Below are 21669 nucleotides of genomic sequence, written 5' to 3' on the forward strand. Positions count from 1 at the left end.
GTATAAGAAATTATTCTTGTTCTTACAACTTTCAATCCTTAATTTTAAATATAGATTGTGTCCAACAAAATGTGAAACTTACAAAGTGACTTACTACTCAAATAATTTGCATTTTTAGTACGAATTTGAATAGCAAACTGAAGGTTTCCTTCTTTCTTTACAAAAATTCTTTTGAAAATATTTTCCATTTATTTGGTGTTGAAAGCAATTAAATTTATACTACCTTTCAACTCAACAGGTATGTATCTATTGATTAAGGAAAATGTAATTACAATATGATCTCTGAATTTATGTAATGTTCAACCTAGAGGGGAAGACCTTCATTCATTGACATGTTATTTTTGTCCCTGAAAAACAAATTTGCAGGGGTCTTCAATGGAAGACATTTATACTGAAAAAAAAAAAAACTGAAATAGATTCAAAACAAGAACTCAGGTGGCTTTAAAGGGAAAAGCTGGATGAAGAAAAACCAGTTAGATAATTATTGTAAATTATTGTAACAAAGTAAGAAAATATAGAATTCAGAAATAGGTTAGTGGCTATATTCTTTAAGAATAGGAGCTTCATTTTTTAACATTACATAGCACCTAATAAACTGCCTTGCATAAAATCAGTGTTTAAAAAGTATTTCTTGATAGAATATAATTTTAAGGAATTTCCTCATATCCTAGTTTTATATTCTCTTTTCAGTATATGATAGGACTTAAGATGCTATGAATTCAATTTTAATCTCTTCATATTTTTTAGGTATTAAGAATAGATTCCTTGAAAGTATGAGTATATTAACTCATGTACATTATTGAAAGAATGTGGATTCTCAGTATAAATTTAAATACAAAGCTTAGATTGCAAACTCAAAAAGCTTAAAGTATCATGGAGAAATAATTTGCTACAGCTGCTATATATTTAGAACTCAAAACTATCCATGAGAATAGCAACAATGATATTTAAAATATTTTAGGAAATGAAGAATATTTTCCTCACTTTTGCTGTTGTAAGAAATATAGACATCGCACTACTGAATAACTGATTGCAAAAATTCTTTTCTGTGTATATATACTGTCTTTTCTCTATCTTTTCTGTTTTTTTTTCCTATTTTATTCATTATTTTAAAACAATCTTTGTAGGATGCAAAACTATAAGTCTTTATTTTAGGCTCCATGTTAGAGGCTGAGTTTATTTTTCTCTTTGATGTTTGAATTGAAAGATTATTCCCTGGAATTCCAAAAAAAAAAAAAAAAAGTTGGAGCAGCTATGCAGACCTCACCTCATGGTGGTTTGAATGATTTCCTTTATCTGTCTCCTTACTGCCAATATCTCATACTTGTCCATTGTAGATAAGAGCAAGTGGGATTTCAGTTTGGATATTATTGAATAGAAGCTGTCAGAAAGAATTTGAACAGTTCAGCACTCCTGAAATGTTGTATTACCCTCTTTCTAGTCCTCATTATCTACACTTCCCACATCTACGCATTGGCATCTGTGGCCCAATTCTAAAGTAGGCTGTTTCTGCTTCCTGTGAAGTTTTTAGCAGCAGAAATATCATCTACAATTCTGTTACTACTCCCAGCATAATTTTTTTTCAACCAAGAACTCCTGAGAGTTTATTATCTAAGGAAAGTATATCATTCTACCTTTTATTTATTTTCACCCTTTTAACTTCTCTTTTAATTTTGTTTTACACTTGATTTTTGTCAAGGTTGTGACACTAAATCATTAAGCTTCAGCTACAAGGAGATCTTTAAGATAAAGATCAAAGGCAAATATGAAAAATCCCAATAGTGAAGTGTCTCTTCAGTAGGGAACACAAAATGTTGTATTATTAACACCATACACATGGTAATAATTAATTACATCTAAAATGAAAAGTGGGAAATCCCTTGCCAATGGAAATCTGAACTTGCATATTAATTTCCTAGAGAATCCATGGAGGTTTTTAAGCAAAGCAACGTATCTTCAGCATTTCTTAGAAAAAAAAAATGGAATGGATCTTTCTTAAGCTGAAATATTGCTCTAATAAATAAGGCTCAATTGTTTTGGCATCGTTAACTGAAAACCATCATTACAATCTAAGTTTGTCTTGCATCAAAGAAAAATGTTACATTATTTTGAGAAATAAATTTTCTCAATCAAAAGGTTCTTGGGAACTCTAAAAGTTAAGTCTGACTCTTGTTGGTCTGTAATTGTATCTGCTCTGTCCTCATGAAATCTGTAGTCTCAAGACTGATAGAGAGGATGTATATCCTATTACATTTTAAAACTCCAACATCATCAAAGTTATAAAAGATTTAAAATAGTTATTTTATATTCAAGGACTTGATATAAAGACATATTCAGTAATACATACAGTACATTTTATTTTCCAACACAATTATAAAAAGATGAAATGTTTGTATAATGAATATATTAATGCACTTTGATTATTATATTATTATTATTATTATTATTATTGGAGACAGGGTCTTGTTCTGCTGCCTAGGCTAGAGTGCAGTGATGTGACCATGTCACACTGCAACCTCAACCGCCTGGGCTTAAGTGATCCTCCTGCCTCAGCCTCCTGAGAAGCTGGGGCTACAGGTGCACACCACAATGCCTAGATAACTTAATTTTTTTTGTAGAGACAAGGTCTTGCTATATTGACCAGGCTGGTCTCGAACTCCTGGGATCAAGCAACTCTCCTGCCTTGGCCTCTCAAAGTGCTGGGATTACATACATGAGTCACCACACCTGGCCTTTTATGGTATTTTAAAAGGAGATTTATAAACTATAACCAGAGTCAAACGGTCTTCAAAGATAGAGAATTTTCTAAATTTAAAAAAAAAAATTTAAATTTTTAAAAAATTGGTGAAAGTAGCATATATTTATGATGTACAGTATAAATATACACAGTATATTTTATGTTGATTTATAGAAAATGGAAAACTACATTAGTTTTCTTTCAGAAAACTGCTTAAATTTATGGTAAGCATTATCATATGTAGAGAATGATGCTATCAAGTTCTTCATAGTTGTGTTTTCTACTTTGTCTAATTAAATGCCAGTAGGATTTTAGAAAAAATAATTCTTAAAACATGTGGCCCTTTATCTTGTTACATTTACCTTTTACATTGACTTTTTACTCTTTTTTAAGCATGAATGAAATTACTTAAGTTATTACAGATCAAGGAATTACTGCTAAAATATGTTTGTTCAGTTGGATTCTGAAAATTACTATGAAATATTCAGAAAATAGAGCATTAAAATCAGCTTTCAATTCAAAGCCTCACTAAAATAAAGTTCACCTAGCACAAAATATAGGGAAATTTAAATTATTTATCAAAAGGTTGAAAAGAAAGAAAGAAACCTTTATTTAGAATTGTTTTGCCATGATTAGCTGAAAGCCACCATTAATATTTAGGTGTTGTTTGGAAAAGATGAATGCTGATACATTTTCCGTAAGACCTTTTTGGGACATATTCATGATGGAATTTTATTTCTCTCTCTCTCCCTTACTCTCTCTCTCTCTCTCTCTCTCTCTGTGTGTGTGTCTCTCTCTTTGTCTCTCTCTCTCTCTCTTTCACACAAACACACACACACATACACACTAGGAAGAAATAAAGGCTAGTAGTGTCACAAAGAATACAGAAATGTCCTGAACAGACACTTCTCAAAAGAAGACATACAAGTGGCCAAAAAAAATATGAAAAAATGTTCAGTATCACTAATCATCAGAGAGAAGCAATTCAACACTACAATGGAATACCATCTCACACCAGTCAGAATGGCTTTTGTTAAAAAGTCAAAAGACAGCAGGTTCTGGTGAAACTGTGGAGAAAAAGAATGCTTATACACTGTTAGTGGGAATATGGTTTCAGCCACTGTGGAAGCAGTTTGGAGATTTCTCGAAGAACTTAAAACAGAGTTACTATTTGACCCAGTAATCCCATTAGTGGGTATATACCCAAAGAAGAATAGATCATTGCACAAAAAAGGTACATGCACTCCTATGTTCATCACTGCACTATTCACAACAGCAAAGATATGTAATCAACATAGGAGCCCATCAATGGTGGATTAAAGAAAATGTAGTACATATACACCATGGAATACTATGCAGCCATAAAAAAGCAGGAAATCATGTCCTCTGTAGCAACATGGATGGAGCTGGAGGTCATAATCCTAAGTGAATTAATGCAGGAACAGAAAATCAAATACCACACGCTCTAACTTATAAGTGGGAGCTAAACATTGAGGACACATGGACACAAACATGAGAACAATAGACAATGTGGACCACTACAGGAGGGAGAGAGGAGCGTGCGCATTGAAAAACTACCTCTTGGGTACTATGCTCACTACCTATGCTCACTACCTGAGTGCAATATACCTAGGTAACAAACCTGCACATGTACCTCTGCATCTAAAATAAAAGTTGAATCTTTTTTTTTTAAAGAAATGTTCTGACAGGTGTAGGTACCTGAATATATTTACTGATAAAAATTTTTTTATAAAAATCTATGATCAATCAGCCTATACATATATGGCAGATACTGAACAGGTAAACTCAGTGCCTTTAATGTTTTTCATTTTATATTTTAAAAATCTGAGCTTTGAATAAGAATTTTATATACATAGGTTCAGGTTAATCAAAACTTTCTTCCATGTAACTACAACATCCATATGTTTAAACTTTGCCCTTAATTTTGCCTAAATCCCTATTTACAATATTACACATTTTTTTCTTAACTTCTGCATTATTTATTCCTGAAATTTATAGATAATTGCTAAGTATTATTGACATATTTTGGATTATAATAGAACATTTATTTAAATTTGTACTAGAACCAGCTTAAATATCATTCAGCTAATTATCACATTAGTTATTGAAGACTCCAAATGCCTAGTTTTTCCCCTGTGGAATAGGAGAACATGTTTTCAGTTTGGCATTCTGGCCTTCGCTTACCCCTATGTTCCTCAAATTCCTAGTAATACCACATTTCTGGTTCCTCTGACTTCTCAAGGACTATACTGTTGCTCTCTTCCGGCTTTCAGATGTTCTCATTCCCTCACTGCCGTCTTTTCTCTCTTCTTCTGGCTCCTGTTTGACTACAAAATTGCATAAATCTCGATCTCGGCTAAAAACATCTTTCCTTGACTTGAAGGTGGTTTTCACTGTTTTGCCTCTTTTCTTTTCATCTCGAACTTTTAGAAGGCATATAAACTCAGAAATCATTACTCACACCATTCTCTCCTTGATCTTCTGTGATGTTGATTTTGTGCATGTGACTGAATCCAAATTGTTTTTCTTGTCTCAATTTCTGCTTTCTCAAGTTCTCTGACTTACGCCACAGTATACTCTCACTCAGAGAATTTGCTATGCTTATTTCCTATACCTTAATTACAATTAGCTCTTTTGACAAAAAAGAGCCCAATATATAAAAGGAATATATTATGTTTGTGTGTATATTTTGCACATATAATGACACACCTTATGTTCCTTAATATATAAAAAAAATTCCAGTAACATTTCTTATACTATTATAATTTGGGCATAAGTTTGGCTTAAGACTGTTTATCTATTGACGTATGTCTGGTTAGCTTATCTTTGGCTTCTCTTGCCTTTATTCCTTCTATTTTTCTTCCACACTCACGGCCTCAATTCTCACGCCTATTAATCTATTTTCTGGCCCATACATGTCTTTGTACACTTCTTTCTAGGAATTATTTCAGCACTTCAAATTCAATTAGAGAACATTAGGGCATTTCCTTCCCTCCCAAACCTGTCAATGCTCCCTTCTTTCGTATTTCGTTAAGAGCACCACCGAATTAGGGGGACACTCAGATACAAAGACAAATACTCAGAGTAAATCCTGCTTGCCCCTGTTTCTCGAGTATAATCATCTATGAACTCTGTTGGATTTAGTCCTAATTTTCAGATAAATCTCTACTTCTCCATTGTCACCTTTTTCATTTAGGGCTTAATTCTCAATTAAAATACTTTTTCAGAGCCTTAACTGATATTTTTACTTCCATTCTCTTTTCCTCATTAGTCTCTCATATGTAAAATTATCTCGATAAAAATATAGTGTTATATATTCTGATACAAATCTTGAAATATGTAAACCAGTATATTCTCTTTGTACTTTTGCAGCACTTGAACTCCTCTCTGTGGGAGGAAATACATATTCTGAAATATCAGAAAATTTGAAATGTGTCTGCATTTTTATGTGGACAACAACAGAATAACTGATATGGGGACTGTCTTTAAATATCTGAAAAAAAAATAATGTCTGACAGCTAGCCAGTTCTTACTCAGTGTCCCACATCTATTTAGAGTAAGGGCTAGATGGGTTCTATTGCTATCCCTGTTTATGTGAGTAAACTTCAGCTTGAAGAAGTTAATGACTTTCCCACAGCCCTCATCCTATTAGGCTGTGAAACAAGGATTATAAATAAATGACTCTAATTTTAGAGCCCTCACTTATGTTTGATATTTTATAGCCATGTCACTCAGTAAGTCTCTGTTGAAGAAATTCAAATGCTACATGGAAGAAGATTGTAGGAGCATCAGACTTAATAGGAAAGATAAGAAGATGTTCAGATTTAGATTCATTAAGCTTATGAATGAATGTGCTGTGGATAGTCTTTTAGAAAGAAACCCTATCAGTAAAAATAGATACTTTAATGTTATTCCGTTAATATTACCATCTTAATTTATCATAGAATAAAACCTCTAAACATCAGAAAAGCTGAAATAATCAAATATGAACTATAGCAAACTCTGAAATAAGAGTGCTCACTATAAGCAATGAAGAAATGAGGAAGTAATAAGAGGGCATAGTACCTATGAATGAAAAAAAGAATTAAACACAGAACTAAAGTCAACATGTATGCCAGGTGGACCTCTCTAGAAGTATCAAAACTGCGGAAGAAAAAAAAGGAGCTTAAATATCTAGTAGGTCCTCATTAAATGATGCTCAACATTACTAATCACTAAGGAAATGCAAATAAAGAGAGTGAGATACCACTTCATACCCATTAGGATGACTAGTATCAAGTCAGAAAATAACACATATTGGCAAGGAGTGTCAATATATTGGAACTCTTGTGCACAACTGATGATAATATAAAATGGTGCAGCCACTGTGGAAAACAGTATTTCAGTTTCATAAAATATTGAAAACAGAATTACTATATTATCCAGAAATTCCACTTCTGGATATATACTCAAAAGAATTGAAAATAGAGTATTGAAGAGACATCTGCATTTCAGCATTTATACCAGCATTATTCACAATAGCTAAAAGGTAGAAGATACCCAAATATTCATCAATGGATAAATAAATAAGAAGAATGTACTATGTACATACTGTGCAATGGAATATTATTCAACCTTAAAAGAGATGGAAATTTTGACACATGCTACAATATGGATGGACCTTGAGGACACAATGCTAAGTGAAATAAGCCAGTCACAAAAAAACCCCGCAAATACTGTATGATTCCATTTACATAAGGTATCTAGAGTAGTCAAATTCATAGAGATAGAAAGTAAAACAAGGACTACCTGGGGCTGAGGGAAGGAAGGAATGGGGAGTCGTTTAATGGCTATAGGGTTTTAGTGTCATAAGATGAAAAGAGTTCTTGAGATGAATGGTGGTGATGTTTTTGCAACAATAATAATGTACTTGATGCCATTGAATGGTACACTTAAAAAGGGTTAAAATGTAAATTGTATATTTATTTTATCACAATAAACAAAATTGAAAAAAAATAGTGGGCCTTAAGCAAAGGAAGCAGAAATTGTCAGCCACAAAACACTTCCTGCTATATCAAATTATTCCTTATGAGTCTATTTTTTGGTTACTAATCTGACAAAACAACCAGAGCAATTAGTATGTACAGACTCAGGCCTAACTTGTCAATAAAAACTAGATTATACTTTATTTTCCTATAAAATGAAAAATTGATACATTACAAGATGATTTTTATCTTGATAGATTTTTCCCTTTTTTTAAGGAAACAGGCAAAATGGTAATATTAATGCTAAACAGACATTACTTAAAGTTATAAACAACTTTCTGTAACTCCTTTTATGACCAATTATAGTTACATTTGTAGAAATTTTTTAATGAGTGTCATAGCTAATAATTGTAGTCCCCCTCATCTGATCTGGTATTTTTTTTTTCCTTGAGCTCCACTGAAATATAGTTGTGAGAGAGTATTAAGACACATATGCATGCACTTCTGGAAAAAAAAAAGTGGCTATTATATGCAAAGACAGAAAACTGGAGCTACTCCTATTCCTTTCCAGGAACATTATATGTTATCTGATGGCTCATCACTTCTGAAAAACCCAGGGGTAAAAGCACCAGACAGTTTAAAAGATCTCTGGTATATTCTCCAGACACCAAAAGGATTTATTACATGCAAATTTCCATTAGTGCTAATGGGAGTTATTATAAGTGATTCATACTTTACATATATAAACTAAAAGGTCTTTTCTATTTTGCTCACATTGAATGAATCTTTTGATTTACAAAATTATAGAAAAGGTGAGGAATAAGCATCAATATTTTAAATATTTAAAAAGTAACTATGGGTGAAATAGTGCTCTTTATAGTCAAATAATTTCAAATGTTAATTTTTAAATTCCCAATAGTATGGCCTTAGCATTGCTTTCTCACTCCTCCTAGTGTGTAGTTAGGTAGTGCAGACCAATATTAATATTAGATTGATATACTGCTGTTATTAGTCATATAATACATGACAAAGCCAAATAAAAAGAAGGTTTTCTTGGTACCTTAACTTTGAGTATAATTGAAAGCAAATTATCCTATCTTACAATCACACCATTATTTATTGGGAAACTTCAAGGTACTGAACTATATTATCTAGGATAAAAGCTTTGATGTCTTATTGGAGAAGCATATGATTTGGTAGAAAAATATGTTAGTTGAAATATGAATGCAAGTTTCCTTTGCTTCTATCCCCAATATTGTCATAATCCTAAGGCCTTGCTTCTTTGAATTAGATAAGGCATTATGCATGATCCGCTCCAGGAAGAAATGATGCAAGAGAATACAGAACAGAAAAAGTTATTTCTTCTATTTCTGAATTTCAAAAGCCTAGAATTCCAAGGAATCATATAAAGGGCTCATAAGCAGGGTCAGGTGGTATTGAAAAATGATGATGTATCAAAACAAGATTTTCCACTCCTGAGACTAGATAACAGGCTCCGGGGGCAGGAAAAATGAAGGCAACTGAGGAGAGTTAAATAATCACCTGTCACTGAGCACAGGGTTATTACTCTGTCAGGTCTCTGTCAAGGATTGAGTGAATATAAGGAGAATACTCACTTAGGTTTAGAAATTAGACAATGGATGGAATCTGCACCTACTTTCCCTATAGAGTCTGGGTAGCCTGGCAGGTCTCCAGAACAGAAATATTGGCAGGTGTACCTAGAAAAGTAAGAATTAGCTCATGGGATCTCCTTGGCTCAATATGATGCAATTTTAGAATGTTCTCTGAGTTTCTAAAAGGAGGTCCAAAAGTATTCAAGAGATAATACATTAAAGGAAAGCTGAAATAGCAATGGATTGAACTGACTTAAAGCCAAAGATTAAGTAAAAAATAAAATTCATCAAAGGGTGTCCAGAAAAGTAGAAGTGACAGAATTTGACAGGAAGAGGCAGATTACACCACCTCAAAGTCTTGAAGCCCCCAAAAGCCCTGTAGTGTTTATGTTGCAACTAAGAGGTAAGGAGAGGACAATTAAAACTTAGCCCAAATTAAGTTTCCTCCTAATGCTGAGTGAGAGACCCCTAAACTGATAGTGAGTTGTGTTATAGAAAAGTGAAGCTATACATCTCTGCTATCTGAGAAGTCTATCTGCTTCCTATTCATACTACAAAGCAAAACATGATCACTCCATAGTAGGAGTAAAAAATAAGCCTTATGGGAATTTGGAACCATTATACAAGAAGTGTGTAGAGAAATATAAATATTTCCACTTTAACTATTTATGGCATTATTATAACAAAGCAAAGCAACACAAAACAAAAATTTACAAATGTTTTTGATGTGCCAGAAACTGTGCTAAACATTGTAGTTGAAATACAAATAAAGTTTTTCTTCCAAAAGAGCTCAAAATCTACCAATAGAGATAAATATATTATTAGCTCTGGTGCCTTTAAATATACCTTTTAAAATAGGTTGTTGTGGATAGAATACAATTCTCATTATTGGCTATCTCTACAGAATCTGAATAATTACTAGATGGAGATTTTAGAGGATATTCTTGCATGCTGCGGAAGTTTGGACAAGTGACCACTAAGATTCCTCTTTATGATGATATTCTGTGGTTTTATGGTGATAGAATCCTGAAAAATAAGGTTGAAATGCTAGACAATTTATTGCATGTAGATTTATGTTTAAAGCCAGTTAAACCACAAATTATTTGGATTATGCTTACTGATTTTGAAGACTCATTCCCAGCCTTTTTTTTTTTAATTTTTCTTTTCCAATATACATTGGGCTATATTATTCTATTTTTAGTAGTGTTAGCTCATAGAATGAAACTCATTCCCATTTACATTATGTCAATAAATATTTCAATCCCAGAAATAAACAAATCTCTAGAAATTTTGCTCATATAATGGCCTAATGCCAAGTTTATAGTTTTGTTGAGGAGCTTACACATGGCCTTTGTCTAGGTGCAAATAAGCAAAAAAGCTTTTCAGAAAACCAATCATTTTCACAGACTGCAACTTCCAAAATTAATAAAAAATTTTAAGTAATGGTTCAAAATGTATACCGATCTTGATCACATATGCAAAGATGAGTAAAATCAATTTAGCATTAAAGGTACAGGCTGCAGTTTCAGATTAGTAGCTGGCGTAGCAGGCAGACATGGTTTTCTGCAAATTTTCTGCTCTGAGATGAGCATTTGTGATTCAACTATATGGCTTTGAAAGATTTTCATAAAAATTCAAAAAGGAAACTTTATAGAAAAAATAATACATGTTCAATCAAAAAAGCAATACATGGTTTTAAGTTAGATTAAAATGTCTGGTAAGGATTGAAATATACTCTTGTTTTTGGCTTGAATATACAAGATATACCTACATGTTTCATAAATATTGATATTTGCATCATGATGGTGTCTGAGCCAAAGTTCTTATAGAAATAATCTGATGCAATTCAATAAATATTTCAGAGAACTTTGTATTTTTATATATTCTGCTGGGCATGTAAAGGTAAATGACAGAGTGCCTGTCATTAAAGAGTTAATGGTTGAACATGAAGTAGAATACTGACATAATCATATAACACACATACACACTCACATTGTGTGAGTGTGTGTGTATGTATAAGACAAAGCACAGAAATTATGAGTAATAAAGTGAAGTGAAAACCTTAAAAATAAATAAAAGGGAGGTCGGGGGTCAAGTGAGATAGCCTGAATGAAGCTCTTTCATTGGATATACATGACAATTCTACCCTCCTTGTAACTTTCTTTTGTCATTTTTTTAGTAGCCGTGTATCTCATCAGCTATTCCTTTTAGATCCCTTTCTTCGATGTGTTATTAATATCTCTACACACAATCTAAATGTTGGAGAACCTTAGGAATGAATACTGGTGCTTCTTTCTTTACCTCCTATCCTTGGTTTTAAGTTCCATCCATATTCTGACGACTACTTGAATTTTACCCCCACACTATTCCTCCCCCGTTAGGCTGGTATATTCTACTGTCTATAATATTTGGCATCTTCACATGATTTTGTTTCTACTATCTCAAGTATATTCAAATATTAATTAGAAACTTCTTCCCCAATCAGCAAACCCGTTTTCACCACGTTTCCCCATGTCAGTGGATGATGCCAGTGTTCACCATGACTTCAAACCCAAAACTGCGGGAGTAATCATTGAACTCTTTTTACCTCCCATCCTTCAAAACCAAAGCAACATCAAACCATATTGTCTTCCCAAAATATCATATCAACTCAGTTCACTCTATTTCCATTTCTATTATTAGACTGCAAGCCCAAAGCAGGCCAATATATTGATTTCGATTCACAAAAATCAATCTACTTATAGCCAACATGTTAAAATTCAATTGAAGTATTTCTTTAAGAAAATCAAATAACTATTACCAAAATAAATTTGTTAAGTAATCAGTTCACTCACTGGCCAGTTTACTAAATTTCCAAATGATTAATTTACCAAAACTTTGTTTTTCTAAATAAACAAATTTGCTTAAAATCAATTATTTAAAAGCCAAATAATCAAATTACCAAAAATTACCAAAAATGCAAATTCACTCAAACTTTTTTTTTTTTTTTTTTTGAGATGGAGTCTCACTCTGCCGCCCAGGCTGGAGTGCAATGATGCGATCTCAGCTTACCGCAACCTCCGCCTCCTGGGTTCAAGCAGTTCCCTGCCTCAGTCTCTCAAGTAGCTGTGTTTACAGGTGCCTGTCACCACGCCCAACTAATTTTTGTATTCTTAGTAGAGACGGGGTTTCACCGTATTATCCAGGCTGGTCTTGAACTCCAGACCTCGGGATCCATCCACCTCGGCCTCCCAAAGTGCTGGAATTACAGGCTCAAACATTTTTATATTAAATATTTATATAGTTTCTAGCATATTGTTTTACATACATGGTTTCTAGAGGATTTTTGAATTGTAAGATGAGTTGATTCATAATAGTTTTGAGACTGCTGAATTTTACTTACTCCAGTTGTTTGTACTGAATTTGTTGTACTAGTTTACTCAAATGTCTACTTTAAGAGGGGTTCACATTTCAGACTTCAAGAAATCCTCAAATATTCAGCTAATTGAGCTCACAAATGATTATATGACTGAAAATTTATTGAAAAACAGAAACTTATTCTTTCACTTTAAAATCCCAATATTGAATATATGCCACATAACTGTCATTAAAAATGCAGAAGTTATTCTTATTCTCAAATCAGGGAATAGTAGAACAACCAGGCATACACTAAATTTTGGCTTGCTAGAGTAAAATGGATCATAATAAATAAAAATAAACTGGATATAAAAATAGACAAATAAAAACAAATTGACTAAAACATCTCAGAAATTTTTAAAATTAAAATCATTCATATCAAAATATCTCTAAACTTCATGAATACATAACATTTTCTAGTAAATTGATAAATTTGACAAATTAATCATTCAGTATATTTATGAGTTATTTTTTAAGGATTTGGTCATTTTATAATTGATATATGTTTTCCCTTGGGCAAATTGAAATTAAATGATTCATTCACTGTATCTTCTTTGGAGTATTACAATTCTTCCTAACTAGTTTCCATTCTTATTTTGTTCTTGGGCATTCTAACAATTCTATCTCTACCAAGCTGTCAGAAATATCATTTTTAAATTCTATGATGACCATGTTGCTACTCATTTAGAGTCTATTCATGGAGCCCCAATTTACAAAGTAAAATCTAAACTTCTTACCAGAAGCCTTCAGGTATTTTGGTGATTTCACCCCAACTATATCATCAACTTCATCTCATGCCACTCTCCTCTTTTTTACCATCACGTAGTCACCTGGCTTTTAGTCCCACTCCAGAACAAAATTAAATATTTTTGTCTAAGGTCGTGGCATTGTTCTCTGCACCTGAAATGTTCTTTTTCTGGTTCTTCCCTTAGTTGGCCCCTTTTAGTCTAAAATATCACTCCCTTAGATAATCATTGCCATTTATCTATTTAAACTGCCTCTATTATTCTTTACCATAGCAACCTGCTCTTTTCCTTCCAAATTATACTTCCTTCTAGGTTACTTTTATGTATGTATTAGGTGATACATTAATTTTGTATGTAACTCCTTGTAATATAAATTTTATGAGAAAAGCAAACTTGTCTATATAGTTTAATATTGCACTATTGTTGGGTTTAGCACATGGTAGGTGGTCTATATGTATTTATTATTTTACAGAATAAAAGCAATATTATGATATTTGGGACAACAAAAATAATCAGATGGAAATAAGGGAAATTGACTTTTAATATAAAAAATGGATTCTAGAATCTATCATATCAGACCAACATGTTTGATATCAACATAAAAATTCCACAATGGATTATCACATAAATTTGCTAAGATATGCAAAAGTAATATCAGTAGTGATCATCCTTGCTAGAACATATGTAAAATTAAGTTGACTTGCTAAATCCTGATTAGATCTTTAGACCTAGAAAGTGACTGCTGCATAAACAGTGTGTTTTTATTTTAGTCTACACACAGCATAATATAAATAATTTTACATATAAGGTGTAAAAAATAAACACTAATTTATATTATAGGCATTTAGATTCATGGCTACTTGTGCAATCTTCTCAAAAAAAAGAGTATTGATTAATGAAATGTCATTGTAGAGAAACTGCTCTAGTGAAGTATGTCATAGGATTATATTTTGGCTGTTTTTTAATTTTAAAATATCAACAATATTTCTGAAAATGTGTAAAGCAAGCAGATCAATGTTATAAAGCAGTAAGAACTGTTAAATATTGTATGAAAGAATTAGGCTAAAACTATGTGAAAACAGGAGAGAATAATGAGCGAAAAAAAGCAGATAAATTTTGTTAAGAATAAATATAAAAATTTATATTAATGTGTGCAATTAATATAGATATTTGGTGAGGGAAGATTGTTTAGCAGCTCTTTGAGGAGTGGCAGACAGAATGTTTCAGTGGAACTCAAGCTTAACCGGAAGCCACATTATTATGTTTGCAATGGGGAAAGGGGAAGTTAGAAAGGTTCTATTAATAGAATATTATTCAGACAAAGAGAGAGCTTAGTCTCATTTCAATATTCAGGAGTCCGACCACTTTAAACATAGTATATCTAATTCGGACGTTTACATTTTAAATATGAGATTAAGACACAAAAGCTTATCCAAAAGGTAAAAATGCTTGGGAATTGTTATTTAAGCTCCAGGTATATAAATTGTAAGCCAGAAAGCAAAGCAGCCATATGATATGAGAAGAAGGTTTAGACAGATAAATTAAAAATTTTTAAGGGGTTAAATGTTTTGATTTTATTATAGTTAAAAAGTAATTTTTAAATGTTAAACAAAGAAATAATATGAACAATAGTTCCACAGGAAATGGTAGTATTATAATGACAAAAGCTGTCATTTATTAAGCATTTAGGTGGCATGTTTTATAGAATGTAGTTTACATGCATTATTTCATGTCACTCATACAGAATATCTTGGAAAAATCGATATTATTTCCCATGTTATGTAATTAGAAGCACAAAATAATTTCATAATGTTTTCCAAAGTTCAGAGTAAGAACGTAGCAGCATTGAAATTTAAGCCTAAATGTGCCGGATTATCTAGTTTGTTTTTAATATGATAGGTTATTTTTTCCAGATTCTTTACATTATTTATATTTTATGTCTTTGTAATGAATATGGATTATTTTGATGAAATGTGTTTAAACTAAAATAATAAAAATTCAAAAAGTATGGAATTGGCAACCTGAAAGTAAAAGCAGAAAATGATTTGCAAATGGAGAGAGAAACATTTCTGAAGACGAAAAGTGTATTTTTCTCTTAAAATGTTTATATTCATTAATCTTCATTTCATGCATTTTTTGAAGTGACTAAGAGAATATTTTTAATATCCAGCATAAAATAAATATTGTCTTATGTTCTCATAGAAAACAGTTTCAACCTTTGATTATTTAATACACGCCATCCTCAGAAACCTGTCGAGGCTCAACCTTTAAATTAACAATTAACATTTGTGTTAATACTTTGAAGTTTATTTATTTTTGTTGGCTAAGCATAGTGGCACATGTCTGTAGTCCCAGCTACTTGGGAGGCTGAAGCAAGAAGATTGCTTGAGCACAGGAGTTTGAGGCTGCAGTGAGCTATGATACCGCCGCTGTATTTCAGCCTGAATTAAAAAAAAAAAAAGTCAAAACTTTTTCCCATTTGATTCTCATACAATGCCTCCTCGTTTTACAGAAAAGAAAACAGAATATCAGAAAATCAGAAAATTTAGAGGCCACAGAGGACACAACTGGTATAACAAAACTACAATTCAGTACTTCTGACTCCAAATTTTGTTTTATTCACCATGTAGACTCAAAATAGCAAAGGCAGGAAAATGCACATAAAATAATACAAAAAGCCGTATGTCATAAAAAGCAGCATTATTGGTAAGTTTTCGACGTCAACATCTTCAATGCTGAGACTTTGAGACTCTTAGAGAGTGCCCTTGTCCAGTTGAACATTCTTAAATGTCATGTGATGACAAATTGAATAACTGTATCGTATTCAAACCCATCTTTATTTTACTTATCTTTTTATTTAACTAGTAATTATATTCTAGGAGGGGAAATAGAACACTAGCCATACCCTCTTGAAATAAATTCTGTATTGTCCTTTTATACAGATTGGTTTTGTTAAGAGTTAAATTGAGCCAATGTGTTACCAAGTTTGTGGCATAAAATTAACTCCATATAGAAAGATGGTTTCAACTTTGAGTTAACATGGTTTTGAGAGGTGAAGCCAGCTGGGCTTCTGGGTTGGGTGGGGACTTGGAGAACTTTTCTGTCTAGCTAAGGGATTGTAAACACACCAATCAGTGCTCTGTGTCTAGCTAAAGGTTTGTAAACGCACCAATTGGCACTCTGTAAAAACGCACCAGTCAGCGCTCTGTGTCTAGCTAAAGGTTTGTAAACACACCAATCAGCACTCTGTAAAAATGCACCAATCAGCACACTGTGTCTAGCTAAAGGTTTATAAATGCACCAATCAGCACTCTGTAAAAACGGACCAATCAGCACTCTGTAAAATGGACCAATCAGCAGGATGTGGGCAGGGCCCAATAAGGGAATAAAAGCTGGCCACAGAGCCAGCAGCAGCAACCTGCTTGGGTCCCCTTCCAAGCTGTGGAAGCTTTGTTCTTTGGCTGTTTCCAATGAATCTTGCTGCTGCTCACTCTTTGGGTCCGCACTACCTTTATGAGCTGTAACACTCACCATGAAGGTCTGCAGCTTCACTCCTGAAGCCAGTGAGATCACGAACCCACTGGGAGGAACAAACAACTCCAGACACGTCAACTTTAAGAGCTGTAACACTCACTGCGAAGGTCTGCAGCTTCACTCCTGAAATCAGCTGGACCACGAACCCACCAGAAGAAAGAAATTCCAGACACATCTGAACATCTGAAGGAACAAACTTTGGACACACCGTCTTTAAGAACTGTAACACTCACCGCAAGGGTCCGCAACTTCGTTCTTGAAGTCAGGGAGACCAAGAACCCACGGGAAGGAACCAATTCCGGACACATTTTGGCGACCCAGAGGGGACACAGTTGTACATAACAAATATCATAATAAATTTTTCTTATAACTAATACCCTCGTACCCTCTAGCTATTACAATATAGAGGGTATGAGTCAATAATCCTTGACAATATTAATAACATTTTTCAATATTTTAGGAAAGCTCTTTGCTCTAACAAAAGGATCTAGATGGAACTTCAGATTTATGTTGCTAAAATACATAGTATATTTAGATTTAATTTACATTTTAAGGTAATGGTTAAAAAATTTGCTAGCTTATTTCTTAACTGTTTTTCAACAGGATGAACTATCTAGCACATGGGTTGTACTCTCAAATTACCCATGTTAAATATCTACCATTCTTCTAAGATTTTTTAAATTAACCAGTAATGAAGTTATACTTTCTAGTGATGGCTAAATTAAAGAAAATAGGGATTATAATTTTGTTTCTCCTGATCTAAACTTAGCTTTGTAAATTCAAATGTAGGATACTCCAGGGAATGGCTGAATATAAATTAGAAGTATCTGAGAAAAAGAGAAAATTCTTAGCAGATCATATTTTTGTCATTAACATGAATACATGAATGTACATGTGTAAAGCATGTGAGTATATAACATCATATAATATTTAATTAGCTCATACAGATTAATCGTGCCACGTTTTGTCCTGAACTAATTTGACCTATGTTCTCGTTTTGTTTTTCCCTTTATTGTCTTCTATTGACAAGAGTATTACGTAAAAATTAACTTTGAGTAGAAAACAAATAACTAATCAAAAACAAATTAAATTATTTGATTCAAAACTCATAATAAGATTCACCTCTTTGTTTTTGATTCAGTACTTCTGTTTCAAAGTATATTACTTTAATAAATGTTTAGTAATTATTATGCAATGGTGTTTATAATGATAATGAGTCTAAAGTCCACTAAGGTGAGAGACAGCATCATAGCATAAAACATAAGATCTTTATTGGAGACAGAAAAAGAAAACCTGATTATTGAATTTTACTATTTTGGCTAAATATCATTAAACAGCATGCTTTCCAGGAAATAGAGAACAAAATAAAGAAAGGCAGCATGTTCCCAGGGGGACTAGCTAACAAAATATGACACTAACAGAGCAAAATGCTCTTAGCCAAGCTAATAGCTCACAGAATGGTGTTAGTATGCAATTTATAATTTGACTGTGAGGCCTAGATTTTCACAGATGCCACTCTAAATGTCAGTACTTTCACCACGTCACAATGAACAAAAGGTAAGCCATTAGATGAAACCAACAGCTGTGTCACTATTGAAACACATCTTAAGTAAATAATATATTGCAGATTTATGATGACATTGAAACAGATTCAGGGATGATGCCATTTGTTCAACTTAATTGCTCAGTAGAGATATTACACGTTTTGGGTCCACCATTAACAAGACAAACCCCCATAAATCCTGTGCCAACCAAATCGTTGGGACACATTCAGTTACAATGAAGTCAAATAAACTCAACCTAAAATTGAATTACAAAGCGTTGTTGAATAACTGCTTTATGCAAAACTGAGAACAACCAAAATCAGGGTAGAAACAAGAAATTCTATGAGGACATGCCTAAGCATAATTTTGAGCAACAGGGCATAGCCAATGACTGAGAAACCATAGCAACAGGAAGAACAAGTTGGCATGTTAGTAATCTGAGATAGGATGATTCTTACAAAGGGAGGAAGCTGAGCTGTAAGCAGAATCAAGAGTGTAAACATAAAACAAGCATGCTTCCTCACCTACAGATAGGAATGCAGCTAATAGATGTCAGTAAAAAGAGCACCATCATTAAATCCTGGAGCCCATACCTTTAGAATACATGTATCAGGACTATTTTATAAGGAAATAATTTTGACAATTCAGTAATTTAGCCCCCTTGGATGCCATTTGAGAAAAAATTATACTTATGTCAAAAATAATAAAGGATACTATAAAAAGGATTTAACATACACTAAGTTAAATGCCAAAGCATGTTATTTGGCAATCCAAATTTGGAAATTGATGATGTACAAAAATCCTAAAAGTGACAGCTTTGTCATACACTGGAACAAGAAAATTCAACATATTTGAACAAGTCCTGTTTGGCAAAAATGGAAAATTTCATTTCCTCAAGGTAAATTGTGAGACGATGAGGAACATGTAAGTATGTAGAAATTGAAACAATAGGATTATTTTTATATTTCTACAAAGGAAAATACTTTCTTCTTTTTCATGTCTACTATAAGTTGTTTAATCTGCAGTATAATGTAAAAAGAACCAGTGAGGTATTCTCTGTATTTCTTCCCATTTTTACGGTCCTGAATATTTATAAAGCTGGACTACACATTTTCCTGCATGAATTAGCTGTAAATCTCAAGTCATATTTTAGCCAAGTAAATACATCTTCAAGGAAAGACCTTTAAGGAAAGGAAAAATGGGATTTTAAAGCCAAATTTTAAGTACAACTTCCTGGATAGTATTTTATTTGAGATACTCTGCTGCGTTATCAGTAAAGATAGAAAATCACAGTGAGGTTGAGCCTTTTTTTATGAATTGCGATTGAAAGCAATTAGGTTTATAATTGTTTCCCAGCTGATAAATAAATGTAAAAGTCTAAATATTGTGTTGCATTTATAATCAGATTAGTCTAAGAAAATCAGAATTGTAAAAATCGTTCTTAATAAATAGTACTAATAGTTATAAATGGGTTTAATTCTGACAAAGTGAGATAGTTTAAATTTTCTTTACTTTTGTTAAATCTTATAAAATACAACAAAATGAACAAAAAATAGAAGAGCCCCTTCTTTAATGCAGGCGTTTCGTGCTTCTTTAATGAAGCAGAAAAAAATAAAAGATTATAACCACAATTCATACCTTATACTGAAAAGCTGTCAAGTACTCTAAAATTTGAACCAAAATGCAGAGAGACAACAGTTCACCTGTATGTCCTTAGACATGGGGAGGTGGGAAAGTGTTAAGTTACCCCTAAAAGTATGAATTAGCTTCCTAAATGGTATGTTTAATGATTGTCAAAAATATTGACACAGGTGGTCATAGAAAAAATATGGGTGTTGCCTCAGTTTGGCACATTATAAATGTAGGAGAAATTAGAATGGAAAGATTATAATAATTATCAGTTTTTGCAATTTAAGGCAGACATTTAGCTAAGAAGAGATCTGAAATAAATTGCAAGAAAGGAAGGAAGAAAAACAGTTTTTATAACTTAAAGGCTTCATGAATTAAGGGGCTTTATTATAAGTCATATCGACCAACTTGTATTAGTCCGTTTTCATACTGCTATAAATAATTTCCTGAGACTGGGTTATTTATAAAGGAAGGAGTTTTAATTGACTCACAGTTCAGTTTGTCTGGGAGGCCTCAGGAAATTTACAGTCACGTCAGAAGGTGAAGGGGAAGCAAGGCACATTCTTCTCAGGGTGGTAGGAAGGAGAAATGCCCAGTGAATGGAAAATGGCCCCTTATAAAACCATCAGATCTCATGAGAACTCACTATCACGGGAACAGCACAGGGGAATCACCCCCATGATTCAATTACTTCCACCTGGTCTCTCCCTTGACACATGGGGATTATCGTGATTACAATTCAAGATGAGATTTTGGGTGAGTACCCAGCCAAACAATATCACATCTGAATGTAAACAACTGAGGGAGGTCATGTCCTGGAGGATAATAGACTTAAGAAATTTAGGATTCCAGACAACAGTCATAATTTAAAGCTGTGGTTGTCCCCAGATGTCGTTCACACAATCCTTACACTATTATTCAGCAAGTGATTGGCTTGAGTCAAAAATAATAAAGGAAGAGAAAGATAAATAAGGAACTACCCTGGCATTAATGTATGGATATGACCAAAACTCAAGAGATAGAGAATAAGAAACCTACAAAATTAAGGTGAAAAATATGGTAAATACGATCAGAAAGAGGAATAATTTATATAACAGCTCTCCTTAGTGTTTTTGTTTGTTTCGTTTTTGAGACGGAGTATCACTCTGTCACCCAGGCTGGAGTGAAGTGGCGCGATCTCGACTCACTGCAAGCTCCGCCTCCCGGGTTCACGCCATTCTCCTGCCTCAGCCTCCCGAGTAGCTGGGACTACAGGCGCCTGCCACCACTCCTGGGTAATTTTTTGTATTTTTTAGTAGAGACGGGGTTTCACCGTGTTAGCCAGGATGGTCTCGATCTCCTGATCTACCCACCTTGGCCTCCCAAAGTGCTGGGATTACAGGCGTGAGCCATAGCGCCAGCCTCTCCTTAGTGTTTAACAACACACATGTTTTTCACAAAGAATGGATCCAATACAGCAACACACACACACACACACACACACAC

This window comes from Homo sapiens, chromosome 6 (assembly GCF_000001405.40).
Source record: "Homo sapiens chromosome 6, GRCh38.p14 Primary Assembly".
NCBI classification, from domain to species: Eukaryota; Metazoa; Chordata; class Mammalia; order Primates; family Hominidae; genus Homo; species Homo sapiens.